This window comes from Homo sapiens, chromosome 5 (assembly GCF_000001405.40).
Source record: "Homo sapiens chromosome 5, GRCh38.p14 Primary Assembly".
NCBI lineage: Eukaryota > Metazoa > Chordata > Mammalia > Primates > Hominidae > Homo > Homo sapiens.
Genome location: NC_000005.10, coordinates 68,419,251 through 68,440,435, shown reverse-complemented (window position 1 = coordinate 68,440,435; position 21,185 = coordinate 68,419,251). Strand labels below are relative to the sequence as shown.

The following is a 21,185-nucleotide window of genomic DNA, read 5'->3' as shown; positions in this document are numbered from 1 at the left end:
CCCAATTGCCCTTGTAGATAACATCATTATTGTAGAACTTAAGATTGGTCTTTTGAGATGTTTTTCAGACTGACCTCACCCAGAATCATAATGCATCACTCAACCAGTCGAATGGCCCCCTACCCAGAGATGGATTTAGCACATAAGGACCATTTTCCACACCCCTATCATTGTATCCCCAATACCCACTGAGTGTACCCAATCAGCATACCCACTCCCTAGTCCCTTGACCACCAAACTATCCTCGAAAATCCGTAACCTCTGAGCCTTTGGGGAGACTGATTTGAGTGGTAACTCCAGTCTCCCATGTGACAGCCTCACATCAATTAAACACTTTCTCTACTGCAATACTGCAGTCTCAGTGAATTGATTTTGCCCATGCAGTGGGCAGGAAGAAACCACTGGGCAATTACATTGGGAGGGTCTTCACATCCCCACTCCCCACCATGACTCTTAATGCTCTTGCTCAATGTGCTCCAGGCTCACAAGCTCCTTCTTCCTTCCCCCTCAATTCCCCCAAGATAGCTCCCATTGGCTGTAGCAAAGGTAGAATTTACGCTGTCTTCATAATTTTAAGAACCTCACATTACTGCTTAGAATAGTACAATTGAAGTCCAACCTACCATTCCTACTATTAGGGAATTCAAAGTCTAGCCAAAAAACAGAGACCTCTCTACATCACTGTGGAAAAAAAACAACAGCAACACTGATTTATGAATTCACACAACACAGCACACACATATGGTAGCTGGCAAAAGGCTACAAGGTCAGAATGAAATTTTACACAATTTATGCAGCAAAACAGAAGAAATAACAATAATACATCTCCCACAACCTTAAGAAACAAACAATTACATCTTGAGACAGGCTCTCAGGTTAGCTCCAGAGGCACATGTTTGCATTTGGGTTATGGGACCCATGACCTTGAAGACATCTCTGTAAAACTGGAGACTGGTCTTATCTCGCCTCTGGAAAGACCCGTTTACATTCCGAAAGGCTAGAACAAGGACTTAAGCCTACTGGTTTTCAAGGAGAGTCTTACTACTACTAATAGTAATAACAGAAAGGTTCGTAAGCATAGAATCAACTTCTAATATACCCCTCTCCCATAGTTAGAAAACATACTGTCCCTTTTCATACCTCCAGCCTGGAGGCTCTCTGTGGCTTTCTGTGGCTTTCTCCTTCAATGCCACCCATTATCTGAATACTTCTGTGTAGAAGCATCTGTAGTTGAGAGTCAGGTCACACAGTGTGGTTTTCCCAAGTGACACCCTCCTTTGGCAGAAACAGCTCCTTTAGAGATCAAGATGGCCATTCCCTGAGGCCCAGGGTCTCAGCAAGCTAGAAAGAGGAAAGCAATCTGATTAAAGGAACCTACATTAAACTCTGTTGATGGCAGCCCTCCAACCTGCCCGTTAGTGCTGTTCATGTGAAGAAGCAGGGAAAAAATCCTTTTAGTCCATTGAATCACATGTTAAATTAGTTCTAGAAACTTGGAGAATGAGAGGGAGAAGTATGTGAGGTCTTCTTCCTACCACTTGCTTGAACTTAACTCCAAGCACCTACCCAGTGCATCTTAAAATTTAGCTCGATGCTTGTAATGCCTATTTAAAATGCACACTTCTGACCTTCTGGTCTAATTCAGCAACTTTGAGGTGGAGCCAAAAAATCTACATTTTTGTAAAGCTCCCCAGGTGATTGTGATACCAGTGAAACCCAGAAATACTGACCTTCTTCATGCAGATACCCGACAGCCACACTTGAGCCCATCTGCCTAGCCAGGGGTTTCTGGAAGCTAGAGTAACCTGTGCCCACAGTGACCTAGGTCACTTGAAAACACTTCCCAAAGTGTATTTTGGACTCTAGGGACCTGATCCTAGGGATCTTAATAAGTGTTAGAGGGCTGAGATAAACCAAGTTAATCAAGTGTTTTTGCTGTGGGACTTCTCAGACCCTTTAACGTTAATATATCATGAGTCTCGAGGAGAAGTATATAACAGGTAAAATGTTTCAAATTTATATGGCCACAGAATCATCTGCGAAATCTGGAGCACATCTTGGGAAAGTGTGATCTGCAGATCATCAGAGAAGTTTTCTGCTGTGCGTAAATGACTACTGAAGTGTTTGATTTTGCTGTATAAAATAGTGTTAGATATGTAAATGTATGTGGGCTGAATCATGTGTAATAAATGTCATATGCTGAGTGATACACTGTCCCAGGCATGTAATAAGTGTCACATACATGATCTCATTTAACCTTCACAATAATCCTGCGAGATGGGCATTATTCTTCCTATTTGATGATAAACTGGGCTTGGAAGAGCTTAAGTAACTTATCCAAGATCACACAATTAATACAGAACAAAGCCGAGATTCAAATCCAGGACTCAAATCCAGCTCAATCTGTCTCCTAAACCCACATCTTTCTCCTTATACTCCACTGCCTCCTTAGCAACACAGTAATAATTACAGTGGAATCTCACCTTCTGTGGGGTTAGGTTATAAAGTTAAGTGCAATCAAAGGTAAATTAGAAAAAACCTAAGTCACTGATAAAGTATAGTTAGTTATACAAGGTTTTGGGCATATAACCCTGCCCCGTATTATGTTTGTATAAGTATATAACGTTGTGTATGTGTACGTAAAATATAATTTTACAGCATTTTTATTTTTAAGTATGCAAAAGAGACAGAACTTGTTTAGTTGAATTCATGTAAGTTAAACACCTGTATAATGTCTCTCTACACATGCATACCTCTAAATGTGTGCCAGACTAACAGTGGTAACATCTTACAGAGTTTTACAGCTTTAAAACCAGAGGGAACTTCTATGGTCAAGTGGTCTGTGTTACATTTGACAGAATTGAGGCACAAAGAGGCTGTCCCTTGCCCAACTTCACTGTCTACCTTCATTTCCAACAAGCTTTGGGAGCCTGTGTGTCTGCTCACAGCTAGGAGGAAAGCAGAGGAAGGCCAGTTCTCCTTACTTTTTGCCTGTTGTGGCCCAGCTAACCCAATAAATGAAATTCAGGTTGCTGTGAGATGGTCAAGGTCTGGGCTTTACATCTGGCAGGGAGACAGCTCCTTTCTGAGGATGACAGCTGCAGCTTCAGCTCTACCTGGGAGCTGTCTCCCCATGGGGAAGATGTTCATAGCCAGCTGTCTCTTTTGTGTGCAGTTCCTGGGATTGTTCAAACTGGTAGAAGCTGAGAGAGCCCAAGGGAAGGGAATCTGCAGCTATAGAGCCCAACATGCCTTCTACACACACACACACACACACACACACACTTGCCCTCATTCCTTTAAAACAGAAAGAAGCCAGAACATGTGATGTGGTCAGCTGTTTGGATTCTTAGAGAGTGTTGAGTCTAAGTAATGGGGCAAGTTGTGGGGAGGGCACTTATGGTTTTGGTGGGGAGGGCAGGGACCATTCCAGCTCTAATCAGAAGGATAAAGGAAGTAAGCAGACCAGCAGACCTGGCCTCTGGCATGTGAAACAGCATCCACATGCCCCCCTCCCGATGTCCTATCAGATCTCATTAACCCTCTCCCATTCCATTATCCAGGCACTGCCTCCTTACCTGCCTTGATTATCTCGGCTAGCTGCCAGGGTTGATAAGAAATCTGTCCCAAAATGGCAGAGGGCTAACAGATTAAGGGGTTCCCTCTCAGGGACTTAGCCCTTCGGGTGGGCTGTCTCACAGTTCCCAATTCTTCCAGAGCCAAAGGAAAGCCACAGAAGCATGAAATGTCAGGAAGATTAGACAGACATTTCTGGGCCACAAGCCTGTGTGATGCTTTTCAGATCAAAACCCAGGTCGTGCCTGCTATGTTTGTAGGAAGGAGGGAGTCTGGGTGGGAAATTAGAGAAAGTACAGCACCCTCTGTCCTGAAGAACCTTTCATCCCTGAACTCAGAGGTGTAAGCTGCCCTTCTGAAACACAAATCCTTATCTACTCTCATTTTCCAAATGTTTTGTGTTTCTATATGAAAATCTTTAGATTTGCTGAACCATTGGGCCCCAAAAATATGGCCCAGGTCACTCAAACCTATATATTTTCTTCCTATGATTTTCCTCAGGGCAATTCATGTCGTCACAGGTGGCCCCACCCCCCAAAGCCTTCACCTGAAGGTATTGCAAGCCAACTTTCCAGTTATTTGTTAAAAATAAAATGATCCTTAAAGGATGTGATGGTCAGCCAAGATACTAGAGTTGTTAGCTTTCATCGGACAAAAGGACTTTCAGTGTCAGCTCTGCTTATTTCATTTAGCTTGGATGGCGACCTACATCTCTCAGCATGAAAGGCCCAAAGCGATGTTTCAGGAAGAATAATCCAAAGAACTACGGGTATCAAACTCCCTGGGAACTTGTTAGCATACCAATCCTGGGCTGAGAATATGATTTTAAGGGGATTGATGCTTTAGAATTTCTGGACTAAAGGTTGCTGTTTCTCTTGAAGTGGCAACTCCATTTGAGTGGCAGGTTATCCTGTCTGTCATTACCTGGAGAATTATACAGAAATCTTCTGCATAGCAAGAAGTCCCACCACACTCAGGGCATTGGGGAAATAGGGTGGTGGCAAGCCTATGTTCAGTTAGGGGGATCCCTGCCCTGTGCTGCCGGAGGAAGTGCCCTGTGCTGCAATGAGGAAGTTCACTGCTGTCTTTCTCAGGAACTCAGACCAACATGAAAATAGGACTCCTGAACTTAGAGCCTATGTTTTGTCCACAAGATTATCCAATCTGCAACAAGCACCAGAACTTGTCTGAGATCCTGAAATCCAGAGAGCCTAGCCAGCTGGGCATATACCAAGCTCTAGCATAGGAGAGAGGCCAGCTACTCAGCCAGGGCACATGGCCCTGGGGCAGCCTGGCCCTGGACAGGTGGAGCCAACCTCTCCAAGAACTTTCCAACACTCCACCATTCTCTGTTTACCCCAGAGGCATATTAGGCTGACTGAGACATCCTTGAGAACACAGGGAAGCTTCAACTACCTATGACTGAAATCATGATCATCATCATCATCTAGTTCTAAACAAAATCATCCTAGGAGGCAGCATGCCCTTGTACAAATTTCAAATCTGATACAAATAGCTGTGTGGCGTTAGGCAGATTCCCTCTCTGTACTTACGGTTCCTCATCTATAAAACAGAGTTAATAAAAGAACCCTAATCCCAGCACTTTGGGAGGCTGAGGCGGGCAAATCACGAGGTCAAGAGATTGAGACCATCCTGGCCAACGTGGTGAAACTCTATCTCTACTGAAAATACAAAAATTAGCTGGGCATGCTGGTGCGCACCTGAAGTTCCCAGCTACTCGGGAGGCTGAGGTAGGAGAATCGCTCAAACCCAGGAGGCGGAGGTTGCAGTGAGCCGAGATCGTGCCACTGCACTCCAGCCTGGTGACAGAGTGAGACTCTGTCTCAAAAAAAAAAGAATCCGTCTCTTAGGTTCGTTGTAAGAATTAAATGAGACAATGTGTACCAAATTCTTAACAGAGTCTGGAATATAATAAGTGTTCTGTAGACAGGGCCACAGCTAGCATGCAGGGTGTCTTTGTGGTAATTGGAAAAGGGTGTGCTCATTTGGGTAGACACATTAGAAAAAGATGTCCCTTCCTCTGGGCTGGCTCAGGCTGGTGCCTGACTTGGGAAGCAGAGTTCCTCCCTCGGCTGGCCACCCTTTGGCTGGTCACAACCCACAAAACTGAAGGTGGAGGCCCTGTCCGTACATGTTTGCTATGGTAAGTACCAACAGTTCTTGCAGACGGACAACTGTGTGCGCTCTCACTGTGGAGGCCCCCTTGGAGGAGGTAGCTGACTCTCACTTCTCAGAACCACAGTGCTAGGCTCAGCAGAGTCTCATCTTGATAAACTTCTGTGAGAACAAAGGCATGGGGACACACTGAATTTTCCTTTTCTGAGCTTGAAACCAGCTGATCATGCTTCCTGTTTCTCTAAGGGCTTCCCTGACATAGACGACTTGCTTCTTTCAAATTTGGTCATCGCCCTCTTGCCTTCCTGTGTGAGTCAGCGTGGCTGCCCTTGTGCACGCCAGGCTCCTGTCTGTGCTCCGGGGCCTGTTTCCTGGCCTCCCCAGGTAATTCCCCTCGGCCAAGGGTGAGCGTCCCCGCCCACGTCCCCTCTGCCTGGAGACGTGCGTGCGCTGGGGACATGAGTCACAGCAGCCCGCCCGTCCTCTGCATCTGAAACTATTATTGGAATGCCTCTGCGCACAGCACATGCCTGCTTCCCAGATTTCACAGGCCCCTGCTCAGGGATCTGCAAACCACATTGCTCAGCCCGAGATTCCACGCGGGTGATCACGAGGTGGTTTGCTCTAAGCTGGAACTTTTCTAAGAAAGTAGGTTTCTTTAAGCCAGGCATTCTGCATTCTTCAAAAAGCGTCAACCACATGTCTCCAGCGAGCGCCTAGCAATGTGCCTGCCTTAATGGGTAATGCAAAATAAATCGTTCTGGAGCTCTGAGAAGGACACAGTAAAAAGAAGAGCAAAAATGAGCATCTCAAATAAGAGATGTGGCAGGACAGATCCTTATGGGCCTGGAGAGTTAAACCCACAAAAAGAAAGGGAAGAAAGAGGCAGAAGATCGGGAGGAGGACCATGAGAAAGAACCAACAGAGGCAAACAACTTGAACAAAGATGCAGAGGGAGAATGTGTCGGACTTGTTTACAGGAACCTAAACACGGAACCAAATTTGAATTTTGAAGATCCTTCTCTTTTTCTCTTGCTAGGATGATTAATAGCCTCTAGTGTGAGAGAATTTGTTGTTGTGAGGTGATAAAACTGCTTTGAATGCTATAAGGTATACAACTCTTGTCTCCCTTTTACAGATGAGGAAACTGAGGCACAAAAAGGTGAAGTCCTGAGCTCACAGTCATGCAACCAGCAGGTGGTGAAACACACCTCCAAGCTGCCTGCCTCCTAAGCATCAAGCTTTGTGGCCCAGGGTGAGAACAGATTTTTGTTTTTCCAGGTGGATATTTGAAAGGGAGGAGCTAAGGTTAGTTCACTGATCCTTCTTCCTTCTCTGAACTCCTGATGCAGATTTCCCTTCTTCCATGCTAGATCTTGGTGTATGTCCAGGTGACTAGGATCTCAGGATCTCAGGCAAGTTCTGGTGCTTGCTGCAGGTTGGATAATCTTGTGGACAAAACAGGCTCTAAGTTCAGGAGTCTTATTTTTATGTTGGTCTGAGTTCCTGAGAGAGACAGCAATTAATTTCCTCATTTTCCCTATTTGACATGGACACGAGAACATGAGACTAACAAAGAAACAACCTTTTGCTAGACCATTTTCAGATCCTATGAAAGAAAATGATAAAGAGAAAAGTAGCTCCTGGGGCAAAGTGGAAGCAGATCCTGGAAGAAGTTGCAGGTGGGCTTATGTCAGAGGCGCCCTAGCAGTAGGTGTGCGAAAAGAGAGCAAGGGAAAGATGGGAAGTCCCTCCTCAAGCAGCAAACGCATGTGGCATCCCAGCATGGCTGGAAGCCACCTCTATCACTTCCTTCCGCCAGTGACAATGAAACGGAAAGGGAGCTTGTGACTCACTTCACCTGGCAAGGTGGTGCTGGAACAGGACACTTCCGTGAATCAAGGCTGATTGATCTTATTCTATTTCTAGACACATATCTTACCCAGAGTGCCTCTCCTTCTGAAAGAGTGGCCACCTCATAAAAGTGAAGAGAACACTGTCAGTGGGAATGTAAAACGGTGCAGCCACTGTGGAAAAACTTATGGCATTTCTCAAAAAATTGAAAAGAGAATTACCATATGACCCAGCATTTTCACTTATAGGTATAATATATACCCCAAAGAGTAGAAAGCAGGACTCCAACTGATGTTTGTACACCATGTTGATAGAGCATTATTCACAGTAGCCAAAAAAATGGAAGCAACTCCAGTGTCCATTGATAGATGAGTAAATAAACAAAATGTGAAATACACATGCAATGGAATATTATCCAGCCTTAAAAACGAAGGACAGTCTGACATATGCTTTGACATAGATGAACCTTGAGGACATCATACTAAGTGAAATAGGCCAGTCACAAAAAGACAAACACTGTATGATTCCACTTACGTAAGATATCAAGAACAGTCAGACTTTTATAAGGGAGGGGGAAATGAGGAGTCGTTTAATGGGTACAGAGTTTCAGTTTTGTAAGATGAGTTTTGGAGATTACATTGGTTGTACAATAATGTGAGTATACTTAACACATTGTTAATGGTACACTTCATAGTTAAGATGGTAACGTTTATGTTGTGTGTATTTTATCACGATGAAGCAATTTTAAAAGTTTAACAAATGAAGAGAAAGCTTGTTTCTGTCTGCTACTTGAGTGTAACTATTTGAATTGACTTGAAGGAGGAAGCTCTGGGCCAGTGTGGAGCTTGAGCATAGGCACAGGAGAAAGGGAGACTGCAGACATTGTTTCTTGATCTGAAAAGGAAAACACGGTTCTGCAGTTGTGACAAGCTAAAGGAGACTGGAAGCTTCCCTGAGAGTGAGCTACTGAGCTCTTGCCCCCCTCCTTCTCAGAGTTCTCCAAGGACACACATCTCAGTGTCCCTGCCTAACCCTACCGCCCCAGCAAAGCCCTGGTCCAAACAATGAAAGATGCCTGTTTGAACTTAGGACAATCCCATGGTTTGCTTATTGGACACTTACTAAGGATTTCACTGGCATCTGCTGGTTGTAATTCTCTTAGCCTCCTTTAAGGAAGGTCTTGTTACTATGCCCATCTTTTAGATGAGAAAACTGAAGCACAGAGAGCCTTTGAGATCCATCTGATTTAAAAGCTGCTACTTTAATAGATCTCTAATAAATAGACATCTTCTGTGATTGCATTAAATAATTTTTAACAAAAATGAAGCAATTCAGTTAAAGATAATATCCAAATGACCAGCTTTACTGGGGTGAAGGCTAAAAGGAATGAGCAGGTTGCCATTAGGGAATGAGCATGTGCGTGTGATGAAGAAAGGTAAAGAGGTATTCATAGTCTAAAGCATTTAGTTGAATTCTTGTGGTTTAGAAACATTAGGTTAGAAGTAGTTAACCAAGTGGAAAAAAAAAAGACACTCAAAACCACCACACTGTTTTTGGCACAGTAATATAACCTGGTAAGTGTACTAAAAATTACCCATTTGGTGAAGGGTAGGGATGCCCCTAAAATAGAATTTCCATTGGCACCTCTTCTTTATGTTCTGCCTTTCAGCTTTATATACCTTCAAGTTACAGGAAAAGCTCTGCTGAGCACTCTTGGATATTTCAGACTTTTCAATGTGACCTCTCTAAAAACCTCCCCCACCAATCAAAAATGCACAACCAGAAACTGTTTCTGCCACAATAGTTCCAAGTTCACATCAGTTACATTTTGTTTTGTTTTGTTTTTTGAGAAGGGGTTTTGCTCTTGGTGCCCATGCTGGGTGGCATGATCTTGGCTCACTACAACCTCCACCTCCTGGGTTCAAGCAATTCTCCTGCCTCAGCCTCCTGAGTAGCTAGGGTTACAGGTGCCTACCACCACAACTGGTTAATTTTGTATTTTTGGTAGAGACGGGGTTTCTCCATGTTGGTCAGGCTGGTCTTGAACTCCCAACCTCAGGTGTCAGTTACATTTTTAGAGGATGAAATGGTACACTTTGGGTTTAAAAATCCATTGTAAAGGAGATGCTTTTTCAAACTTTAAAAAAGAAGAACCTGACATTTTTCAATCCAAAATGGACTGACAAACATTCTTTCAGTTCATCTTGTTTAAATAATGAACATCAGAAGCCTATTGTTTAGTATTTTTCAAAAAATAGTAGCATTCTCAAGATTTGTTTTTGTTTTCAACAGATCTACTTCATGCTCCAAATATTCATGGACCTTCCCAGGACCTCAACAAAACAAAACCATGAAGAAAAACCTTGACATGAACCCCAAAAAAACCCAGTCAGCAATATTTTAAGTTAAATTTTGAAACAAATCCAAACGGGTTCCTCCCCATAAATCTACCAGTAAATTGTGCAGAATCAGAACTGAAGCCATGCCCTTTCTTAAAGTATTGAATTAGAATAAATGAGAACATCTAAATATTTTCCAAATTCATATTCCAGTTATAATATTCAAGTTTCTTAGTTTCTCTCTGTTCACATTCAACATGAAATAGTCCCATTAGTCAGTAGCAAGAGCTGCAACATTTCTACAGGTACTAAAGGATGTGATCAGAGCAGGGAAGATGGCCAACAAGATGATGCCACTCTAGCGGGTGCCCATCCAAATCATAACCCATGAATACTGCGGCTTTATTATCTTGGACAACAGAAAGCTGATCTTGTAATTGGATGATCACCCCTGCTTGCATGCTTTCGAGTAGTTACGTATGACAAAAGGAGCTACTGGTTTTGTGATGATGGGTTTCTGGGTAAACCCTAGATGCAGAAGCAGCTTTTAAGCATAGCAGAGCAAGAGTCAAATGGTTCTGAAAAAAGTTTTAACTCTGAGATGACTTCTCCCCGCTTCTTTCACTCTACCCTCTCAATCCTAGAGCAAGTGAGCAGAGTAGGTAAAGCTGTTTCCTCCAGAAAGATGATCCATATTTTAAACAGCTCTGTGAATGGGGCACTAAGACTCAGAAGATCTGGTTTTCAGTTCGCATTCTGCCTTTAACTGGTCTTGAAAGTTTGGGCAACTCAATTATCTCATGGAGTCAGTATTTGCATCTGTACAGTGGGGATATGAATACCTGTCTTACCTACACGGAGCTGTAAGAGCAACAGAATGTGAGCTGGCATGATGTTATTATATGTATCACCTTGGTTATTTTAAAACATGCTTGATGTATTAGCCTCTCTGTTTCCTCTTGAGTTTTCCTGCAGAGATGTCTTTTAAACCAAGCATCACTCTCCCAATCAGAGACAGGGCTAACTAGATAGACAAATGAGAAAGAGAAGTCGGGGATGGGATGGGAGCACAGCCAATGCAGAAACAGTCATGTGTATTCTTCTAGACAGGTGAGCAGAGACATTTTCAGGATTTCAGGGGGGCAGGATGGAGACATGGGGGAAGCTTCTGGGTCAGTTCTTGATGGTGTGGCTTCAGTATGTAGATGCACACATTCTCCTCTAAGTCGAAAAGAATATACTGGGGGTTTCCATTCTTTTGGATTTTCCAGGCTTCTAACGACCTCCACCATTCCCAGTCCAGAGGAGGTCATGGGATGATAGAAAGTGGGAGCAACCAGGGCATGTGCCTTTTCATTTCGCAGTGGAGGGGCTGAGGCTTGGAAAGAGGGCCTGGCTTAGGGAATACAGACTTCAGCTCAGAAAATCTAACAGGAATTCTCTTCTGTGACTGCTAGACAGGCTTGAAACTACTTAGCAATATTCTGATTTTTTTTCTCTGCAATATCAATAAGGGTAAGCACCCAGTGCCTTCTGGCAGCACCCCCAGAAGCTGCCACCTACAGGACTCCCTTCCCTGCTGGCCGGCCCATGGGCACCCTGTGAGGTGAGCCAGGGCTGCTTCCCAGCAGAGGAAGGCCGAGCCACCATGCAGCCCTGATTTGTCTGTATGAAGGGGCAGAAATTGATGGCCCACACAGCTCGAGCTTTTGCATTTGCGAGAGAAAAATGTCTTCGTAAAAACAACAAGAACAGCAGCCTGAAATAAAAGAAACAAATGGCATCCAGTCAGAGCCCAGGTTCCCTTCCAAACCCACACCCACACACACCCCTGCGCCTGTTTCATGCTTCTCAGCATGAGGCGCTGCCTCCAGTGCTTCTTTCAAAATACTGCTGAGAAAGTGCCACAGGACTGTCACGTCGACAAACTGTTCAGTCCCCCGTTTGAAGCTGAGAGGTGCCAGGCAGAAACTGGGTTCAATTAGACATGATGGAAAAAGGGAGAGGCCCTCCCTGGCCCTCGCTCAGGCCCCTGAGGTGTGCATTACATCTGGCACAAGAATTGCCCAGAAGGGAGGCCCTAGGCTGCCTAGCGGTTCCCAGGTCTTCTGCCCCACTATCAGCTTCTCCCTTGCTTCTGCCTAAGCTATCAGGAGCCTGCAGGCAGCCTGGACCTTGGGGCTTGCACACATGAGCTTCAGGTCTGATTAGAAAGGAAGCTGGGCTCCTTCTTCTTTTCTACTGAGGCCTGTTTGGAGAGCATCCTGGCCAACACATGCGTAGGGGATCACAATGCATTACTTAGAATCCCTCCATCCTGGCTTGTGCCTCAAGTCCTTCCCTTCTGTTTCCACACGCCCATGCACGATTTTTTAGACTTGAAGAAAATTAATTTGTATTTATAACTAAAAGGATACAGCACTTATAAGTGCAATGGTCAGTATTTTTTTCTGCCTCATTTTCTATCCGATATTTTCTGTGATGATTTGACTTTTATTTGTATATTATAAAAAGCATCTACTGGGCCAGGTGTGGTGGCTCATGCCTGTAATCCCAGCACTTTGGGAGGCTGAGGCGGGCAGATCACTTGAGGTCAGGAGTTTGAGACCAGCCTGGCCAATACGGTAAAACCTTGTCTCTACTAAAAATACAAAAATCAACTGGGTGTGGTGGCAGGCGCTTGTAATCCCAGCTGCTCGGGAGGCTGAGGCAGGAGAATCGCTTGAACCTGGGAGGTGGAGGTAGAAGTGAGCCGAGATCACACCATTGTACTCCAGCCTGGGCATCACAGTGAGACTTTGTCTCAAAAAAAAAAAAGCATCTACTGTGTGTCTCTGAATTTCTTAATAAGTATTTGCAAAACAAATCATACATTTCAGCTTGCAAACTAAAAAAAAAAAAAAAAAAGGGCAATATGTGCTGGATTAGTTAAATGGAAATGGCCAGCCTTCAGTAAAACAAATGCTTATTAAGCACCTACTATTTGCCAGTCCCTGTGGGAGAACACAAAGATGTGGAGACACAAAGATGAAAAGGCACATGCCTGCCTCCTAAAAGTTTAAGTTATCCTCAAACTTCCACTCGATGTGAGAACACAAATGATTCTTAACAGTGTTTAATTCCCAAATGAATTTTTTAGAGGAATGAGGATGTGTGAGTATCTGTATACATCTATACAAGTGTCAGGGATCTAAATGTGTAGCTGGCAGCATTTAGAAAAGAACAGGCTAGATGCAGTGGCTCTTGCCTGTACTCTCAGCACTCTGGGAGGCCAAGGTGGGCAGACTGCTTGAGCCCAGGAGTTTGAGACCAGTCTGGGCAACATAGCAAGACCCTCTCTAGACAAAAAATTAAAAAGTTAGCTGGCATGGTGGTGCACACCTGTGGTCCCAGCTATTTAGGAGGCTGAGGCAGTAGGAGGACCTGGGATGTCGAGTGTAACAAGGCTACAGTGAGCCTTGATTGCGCCCCTGTACTCCAGCCTGGGTGACAGAGTGAGACCCTGTCTCAAAACAAACAAACAAAAACAAAATAAAAGAAGAACAAATCCACTTTACCCAACTACAAGCTGTAAGCTCTCACAATGCTCAGGTCTAAGTACATGATGTATTTATTTCCTAGATACCTACTGTGAAGTGTGGAACAAAGCCAAGTTCTATTACATATTTGAAAAATCCAGGTGACAGGAAGAGGATACAAAGATGGAGTAAGCTCCCCGTGTCACCTCGTGGGAGGTAGAAGGGATCAGGGTAGGGAGTTAACAAGAAAACTAAGAAAGGGATGATGAGACTGAAATGGAAAAGTAGATCAGTGATTGCCACAGTAGAGTGTAATAAAAGCAATATAAGATCTTCTCTTTCTATTTATGTTCGTTAAAAAATAAAAGACATTAGGCTTGACTACCATTTAACAGATTGTCCGTAGTACATGTGTATAATGTGTGTGTGTATAAACACGGTGTAAGGAGCCTGACTGTCTGAGATTGTATTGTGCCGAGCCTAAGTTAGCCACATGGATGGACAGAAGCCATGTGGAGGAGCACCAAGGCACCACACAGGTGTGGGAATCCTCCTTAGATCTTGTAGCTCAGCTAGCCACCACCTGACTATAGCTGAGCGAGTGACCCAGCCATCCTCACTGGAACAGAAGAGCCAGCTGAACCCTGCCTGAATTCCTATGCCACTGATTATGAGAAGGAGTAAATTATTGTTTTAAGCCACTAAGTTTTGGAGTGTGGTTTGTTTCACAACAATAGATAACAAAACGATCATATTCTTACAGTTTGGTAATTAACCCTAGAGACAAACATATTTATCAAGATTTCTCTCTTTACATGATGGCACCTTAAATGTGAAAAACAAAATTCTGATGGTCAAGAGTATGTAGTCAATGAAATCTGACGGCTAGGCTAAGCCCAGAAAACAATGAGGCAGCCACAACAAATTAACAAAGTATTATTTTTAAAAATTTATTTTTGAGACAGGATCTCACTCTGTCATCCAGGCTGGAGTACAGTGGTGGAATCTCAGCTCACTGCAGCCTCAACTTCCTGGGCTCAAGCAATCCTCCCGCCTCAGCATTCCAAGTAGCTAGGACTACAGGCACTCACCACCATGCCCTGTTAAGTTTTGTATTTTTTTATAGAGACGGGGTTTCACCAGATTTCCCAGGCTCATCTTGAACTCCTGGACTCCAAGAGATCCTCCTGCCTCAGCCCTCCAAAGTGCTGGGAATTCAGGCATAAGCCACTATGTCAAGCCCAAAGTATCGCCTTAAAAGAGAAGTTGCATACAGTACAGAAGACTTAGAGTGGGAGGTATTTTACAATAATCAGGAATCTATGCACAGGTAATGTTTTTTACCTCTTCCTTTGGCAAAAGTTTTATCCCTTCCAGCCTTTGGAGTTCTTTCTTTAGCTGTATCTGACAGCTTCTCTGTTACCCTCTTCCCTTTTATTATTGGGGGCTGGATGCCTGGAAACCACATTTTCCAGCATCTTTGCCAACAGAGTTCCAGATCATATACTGACATGAGATTAAGAAGGTACAAGAGAGGTAGAAGCCACATAATGCTACTCTGCAGAAGAGAGCAAATGTGTGGGTTTCAGCAAATACCAGATTTTGTATTGGCTCCCCGACATCTCCCTGTGAATCATCAACGTCAGTGTTAGAAACAGATGATACCATCACCAGCAGTTTCCTGTAGTCCCTGAAACCTTCTGTCTCTGAAAGCTAGCAGCAAATTTGAAAGTTTGTGGCTTTCCCTGAACTTCCTTCCTTGAACTTTCACCCTTGACCTTTCATAGCCCTTACAGAAGTTTTGTATGCATCCACTTCCTTGTATTAAGTTCTTTTCCTGCCTGAAATACCTAGAGTGGTTTCTGTTTTCCCTTCCTACTTCTGATTATATAAGTCCAAATCTCATTTAGACTTAATGAAAGTCAAGATACAGAATTTCTCTTTACACACACATATGCATTTTACAAACAGCTACAGACCTCCATAAAATGTGCAATGTTAGGCCAGGTGTGGTGACTCATGCTTGTAATCCCAGTGCTTTGGGAGATTAAGGTGGGAGGATTGCTTGAGGCCGGGAATTTGAGACCAGCCTGGGCAACATAGCTAAACCTCGTCTCTACAAAAAATAGAAAAAATTAACGAGGCACAGAGGTGCATGCCTGTAGTGCCAGCTGCTTGAGAGGCTGACGTGGGGGGATCACATGAGCCTGGGTGTTCAAGGCGCAAATTTTATTTAAAAAAAAATAAAATTTGAAACAGAAATACACATAATACAGCATAAAGGGGGATGCATATGGAGGAATCATAGAATGGAAATAAGAATTAATAAAAGATATAGTTGAGGCTCTATGGAAAGGGAAAATTAGTATTTTTCCTTCCAGTTAATCAAAGTTTTATAGGTAGGGTTACCAGATTTAGCAAAGAGACAACAGGTTACCTAGCTAAATTTGAATTTCAGATAAACAATATTGTAGGCAGAATAATATTCCACAAAAGATATTTATGTTCGAATCCTTGGAACCTATGACTATATTATGTTACTTGGCAAAAGGGACTTTCAGATGTGATTAAAGATATGAACCTTGAAATGGGGAGAATAGCCTGGATTATCCAGGTGGGCCAAATCTAATCAAATAAGGTCTTAAAAGTGGACAACTTTTGCCAACTGCAATCAGAGAGAGATCTGACTAAGGAAGAAGGATCAGAGAGATGTAACATTGCTGGCTTTGATGATGAGGAACAGGCCATGAACCAAAGAGTGTGGGTGGCCCCAGAAGTGGGAAAAGGCAAGAATACACATTGTCTGCTAGCACCTCCAGAAAGGAATGGGGGCCTGCCCTGTTGACACCTTGATTTTAGCGCAGTGAAATGCGTATTAGACTTCTGAACTACAGAACTGTAAGGCAATAACTTTGTGTTGGTTTAAAGCCACTAAGTTTGTGATAATTTACTAGAGCAGCAATAGAAAATGAATACAAGCAACAGAGAATTTTTTAGTATGTTTGGTCCATGAAATATTTAGAACACGCTTATCCTAAAAATTATTTCTATTTTGAAGTTAAAATTTGACTGAATACTGTATTTTACCTGGCAATCCATTTTATAGGAACCTGAGATTCCAGAGCTCTTGTACATCTCTGCCTCTATCTATCTATTCATTTCTATATCAGTTTGGGGAACTTACTATGTTGCAGGCAGTAAAAATAGGCAATTTACCTATGGTATTTCATCTAACTCTCACAACTCTTTGGTGTAGGCACTAATTATTGTGCCTGTCTTATAAACAAGGTAACTGAGTCTATGCAAGGTTAAAGAGTTTGTTCGAGGTAGTACAGTGGAGGAGCTGGGGGTGGCTCGGGTCTGTCTGAGTGCAAAGCCCATGCCGCTAAGCTCTGTGTCTACCTGGCTAGGCTGTCACTTCATTCCTCAGTTTGCTTTCATTCCCAGGGCCCCAAAAGTTAGCCTCTATTGTTGCTTCCACATTCTCCCCACCCACTCTCTCCCATAGACCAGTCATCTGATATCTGTCCCCACCTCTTTACAACAGGGAAACTGCTTTCTCAAAGGTCACCGATGGCCTCTAATCTGCCATCATTTCTTAGTCATCCTTCTCTTGACCTTCTCTGTAGCATGTGGCTTTGTCGTCTCCCTCCCCACACATGCACCGAGCTTTTCTCTTGTACTTCTCTGAATCTCTGATTATTGCTTCTGTCTGCTTACTCATCTCATTCTCCACAGTGGTATGGGAAGCCTGGTTCTGTTCTTCCTCACTCTCATTTTCTCATTTTAAAACTCCCTTGGAAATCTCACTCATGGTCAGGCTTCAACTTCCATCTCTGCTGATGATGCCCCAATGTTACCTTCAGGCCTGCTTTCTCTCTCTCCAGCTGTCATCTCATATTTCTACAATTGCCTGCTGGACAACCCCAGACAGACAATTAAAATCAGGCCCACCTCCACCCCAGCTTACCTGCCCTTCCTCCCCGGTATGAAGGGTCTGGTGCTCTCCAGATATGGGGTCTGAGTCCATTTCATTTTTGACTCTTGCTTTTTTTCCCTAAATGAAGTAACCGAGTAGTTCCTGGTCCCAGTGTGTTGTTCATGATACCTTTTGCATTCCTTTCTTTCTCTCTCTGGCTGCTCCCACTGGTCGGGCTCCTGTGGCCTCACACTTGGACTGCAGCCTCCTAAGGTCCTTGAGCTTGCCACAAACCTGGGAGACATTACAGCCTGGGCTTCACTCTCAAAACAGATTCAGCCCCTCCAAGATGGGGTCGAGGCCACAGATGTTTGTAAGTCTCCCCAGGTGTGTTAGCTTTCTATGGCTGTTGTAGCAGATTACGACCAACTCACTGGTTTAAAAGAACACAAATTTATTTTCCTACAGTTGTAGTTCTGTAGGCCAGAAGTCCAAAATGGGTTTCACTGGGGTAAAATTAAGGTGTTGTCCTCCGGACGCTCTAGTGGAGAATGCATTTCCTTTCTTTCCCCATGCTTGTTCATAGCCCCATCTCGTTGCGTTTTCTCCCCCTACTTCCCTTGTCACTCAGCCTTCTTCCTCTGGTGTAAAGTCACATCTCCTTCTGCCTCCCTCTAGAGGGATATTTGTTATTACATTTAGGGCCCACCTGGATAACCTGGGGTACTCTCCTCCTCTCAAGATCCTAAACAACATCAGCAAAGTCTCTGGCCACAGAAACAAACATTCACAGGTTCCCAGGATTAAGTCCTGGATAACCCTGGGGGCTGGTGTCAGCCTGTTACCTCAGGTGACTCTAGTTGGCAACCAAGCTTGAGAACTACTTTTGTGACTGAGCATCCTTTCTCCGTGCTTGTCTCTCAATCCTCTTGCTAGCCATCGTCTTCACACACCCTGTGTCTTATGACATGCTTCTGAGTGCCACCACAGTTCCCCTCTGCCCTTAGAACACATCGCAAACTCCTCAGCCTAGAACACAGCCCAGCTCGCACAGACATGAGGACTCCTTACAGACACGTTATGCTCTACCGCTCTCCCACATAAACGCTCGGCTTCAGGTAAACTGGTTTTCTCAGAATATACTTGGCATTTGGAAGGGCTTATTTTGTTGGTCCTGTTTCTCCAACGTTAAGCCTTTTCCCATCCTGCTCTGCTTACTCAGAGCTAACCCTGGTGTCAAGACATGTTAGCTTCCTCAGGCTGCTGTGATATATCAGACTGGTTGACTTGAATGGCAGAAAGTATAATCTCACAGATCTGGAAGCTAGAAGTCTGAAATGAAGGTATCAGCAAGTTTGGTTTCTATGGAGGGCTGTGAGGGAAGGATCCATCCAAGGCCTTTCTCCTTGGCTTGCAGAAGGCCATCTTCTTTCTATATGTGTCTCTTTCCAAATTTCCCATTTTTATAACTAACCAGTCATATTGGATTAGGCCCATCCTAATGAACTCATTTTTAACTTGATTATCTCTGTAAAGACCCTATCTCCCAATAAGGTCACATTCTGAGGTACAGGGGGTTGGGCTGTCAACATGAATTTGGGGGGATACAATTTGACCTGTAACACTAGCCTATCATAGTCCTCTTTGTTTACTGCTGTCTTTCCTCCTCTGCACCACAGGCTGAAGTTCTCTCCCTCGTTTAAACAATACAGCTATCCCTGTCCATTCATTTGGAAAAAGGACACATGAAGCCTTGATTGCGTCTCTTTGGTTGTTGTCTTTGAACAATTTGTGCATGTGTGGACGTGCATGTATGTGTGTTCTCTCCAAATAGAATATGAGCTCCTTGAAGATAGCCATTGCATCTTCTTAATCTCATTGTGCTCATGATACCTATGATGCATGTGTTTGGTAAATGTATTTTTTTTTAATTTCAGAAAACTTGAGAGTTTAGTTTGGGGTGAGGAGTGGACAGATAAATGATCTGATATTGTATAGCATTGGATGAGCGATCTCTTCAATATCTTTGTTGGAGAGAATCTAAAAGAATGTGGTCAGGTGGCCTGGTACCTCAAAGCTACAAGCTGACCAAAGAGAGGAGGAGAGAGGAGAGAGAGAAAAGACAGTAAAGTCTCTAGATACTCAGATGAATTCATGTAAAAACCGGCTGAGTCCGGTTAACAGTATTTTCATCAGCATCATCCCTGACCTCAACAACCCTGGCCCTACCCTCCAGTGACAGCGTGGTGCTTTGGAGGGCTTATCAGGCTGACACAGGCACCCCGAGTCAGGCACTCTGCCAACACCTTGCTGGGTGGCCTTGCATCGCCCTCTGTTTTTTGAGTACTCCTCTGCCTACCAGGCAGAAACGCCCTGGTCACTTCCACAGAAGCAGTGTACAAATTAGTGAGTAGGGGACTATCAGGTGGGGAAATGTAAAGAGTTGTCAGGATTTATGTCCTTAGCGTGAGAGTCTAGAGAACCAAAACTTGAGGAGTCTCCCATATTAAAAAGATGTGCTGGAGCACACATGTGTGTCACTCCTGCAGAGAGGAATATAGCCAAGCCCCATTAAGAAAATCATGAGGCAGAGACTTGAATCAACTTCTATAAACTTCTTTTACCTTGAAATGGCTCAGAATTGTAAACACCTGTATTTCATCTGGATTATCTGGACAAATCGCTTAGCCGTTCCTGCATCCCACCCCAGTCTCCAGTGGGACCCTGTGGCTTCTCTACACTTATTTGACATTTCTAGGCTCCAGTTCCTGCTTCTTTAGTTTCAGCTTTGTTTCTCCTTATCATGCCCAGGTCACACCAGCTGTCCCTTCCTGGTGTTGACTCTGGGAGAGATAGAAGCCTGCTCCAGCTTCATCCCAAGCTCCCCATAGGTGGGGGCTTTCCAGGGACTTTTTTAGCTCGATGCCCATATCAATTTCACAACCTCCCGAGGGGAGCCTGGGCCCCCAGGAATGGCTACCTCCTCTGCTGCCATTCTTATGTGTTTACCAAGTCTCATGTTGGTCTCCTCCTTTCTTGCTGCAGCTGCCACACTCAGAGAAGGAAGAGGAATCTTCAGGCATCAGATGCTTGCTTGAGTGGGCTGCCTTTCCCTCTAAGGGCTCTGAGAGTGGGGTCGGGTTCTTCCCCACGGCCTCTAGCACTACTGGAGCAGCTGGAGGTTATTTTTGCAGTAGGGGCATTAAAGGAACAAGAAGTACAGTTGCCCAGGGCTTTCCTCCATGTGTGACTGCACAGGAGGTCAGAGGTTAGGGTGGAGCAGGGCAGGCTGAGTCAGCTCCGTGGAAAGTGAGCTGGGCTGCTGTCAGCCTGATCCACATACTTTCTCAAAGCCCCCTCCGTCTGCTCTTTCCTTTCAACCTCTAAGCTTATTCCCAAGAGACTATGGGTCTGGATTATCTCATTTTAGTCCACCAAGCTGTTCAAACAGCTCTTAACATTTGACCTTCCCTCACCCTATCTTATGCAGATTTGGAACATAGTTTCTTTCTCTGTTCTCTATCTAAATGATCTACCTAGCTTTAATATGCATGTGCTATAAATTCTTTATTGTTCGTGCATAGATGTAATCTCTCTTTTTATATGTTAGTATATCTTTGTGTAATCATCCATATCAGTGCTATGGCAACATAGTGAGATCCTGTCTCTATAAAAATTTTTTTAAAAAATAGTCAGATGTGGTGGTACATGCCTGTACTTAGGAGGCTGAGGTGGGAGGATCACTTGAGCCCAAGAGGATGAGGCTGCAGTGAGCTGTGATTGTGCTGCTGCACTCCAGCCTGGGTGACAGATTGAGGGCGGTGGGTGGGGGAAGAGGGGAGT

The 21,185-nt window shown here is 44.2% G+C and overlaps 1 long non-coding RNA gene across 5 annotated transcripts in view, besides 4 other annotated features; it reads left to right on the top strand.

The window, feature by feature from the left end:
• Positions 1–14,124, top strand: part of LOC105379013 (uncharacterized) — a 406,546-nt gene extending 392,422 nt beyond the window's left edge. For 4 of the 5 annotated variants that reach the window (XR_007058804.1, XR_007058805.1, XR_007058806.1 and 1 more), the window contains 2 exons: positions 6,851–6,967; positions 9,859–14,124. This is a non-coding gene — a long non-coding RNA (uncharacterized LOC105379013). Of the gene's footprint in view, positions 1–6,006; positions 6,097–6,850; positions 6,968–9,858 lie in introns of those variants that run through there. The other variant, XR_948412.3, reaches the window with a different exon arrangement.
• Positions 5,475–5,534: an enhancer, noted in NCBI's record as "active region_22633". NCBI's record gives its function as "activates an Ori minimal core promoter by ATAC-STARR-seq in GM12878 lymphoblastoid cells {active_cell/tissue: GM12878}" and the evidence as "EXISTENCE:reporter gene assay evidence [ECO:0000049][PMID:35858748]".
• Positions 5,523–6,722: an enhancer, noted in NCBI's record as "BRD4-independent group 4 enhancer chr5:67729541-67730740 (GRCh37/hg19 assembly coordinates)". NCBI's record gives its function as "activates an origin of replication core promoter dependent on BRD2, P300/CBP, MED14 and CDK7 cofactors, and independent of BRD4, by STARR-seq in HCT116 cells {active_cell/tissue: HCT116}" and the evidence as "EXISTENCE:reporter gene assay evidence [ECO:0000049][PMID:35650434]".
• Positions 5,905–6,244: an enhancer, noted in NCBI's record as "active region_22632". NCBI's record gives its function as "activates an Ori minimal core promoter by ATAC-STARR-seq in GM12878 lymphoblastoid cells {active_cell/tissue: GM12878}" and the evidence as "EXISTENCE:reporter gene assay evidence [ECO:0000049][PMID:35858748]".
• Positions 5,920–6,214: an enhancer, noted in NCBI's record as "tiled region #6353; HepG2 Activating non-DNase unmatched - State 4:PromP, and K562 Activating DNase unmatched - State 5:Enh". NCBI's record gives its function as "activates a minimal TATA promoter and a strong SV40 promoter by Sharpr-MPRA in HepG2 and K562 cells {active_cell/tissue: HepG2 | K562}" and the evidence as "EXISTENCE:reporter gene assay evidence [ECO:0000049][PMID:27701403]".
• Positions 14,125–21,185: the final 7,061 nt, after the last annotated feature.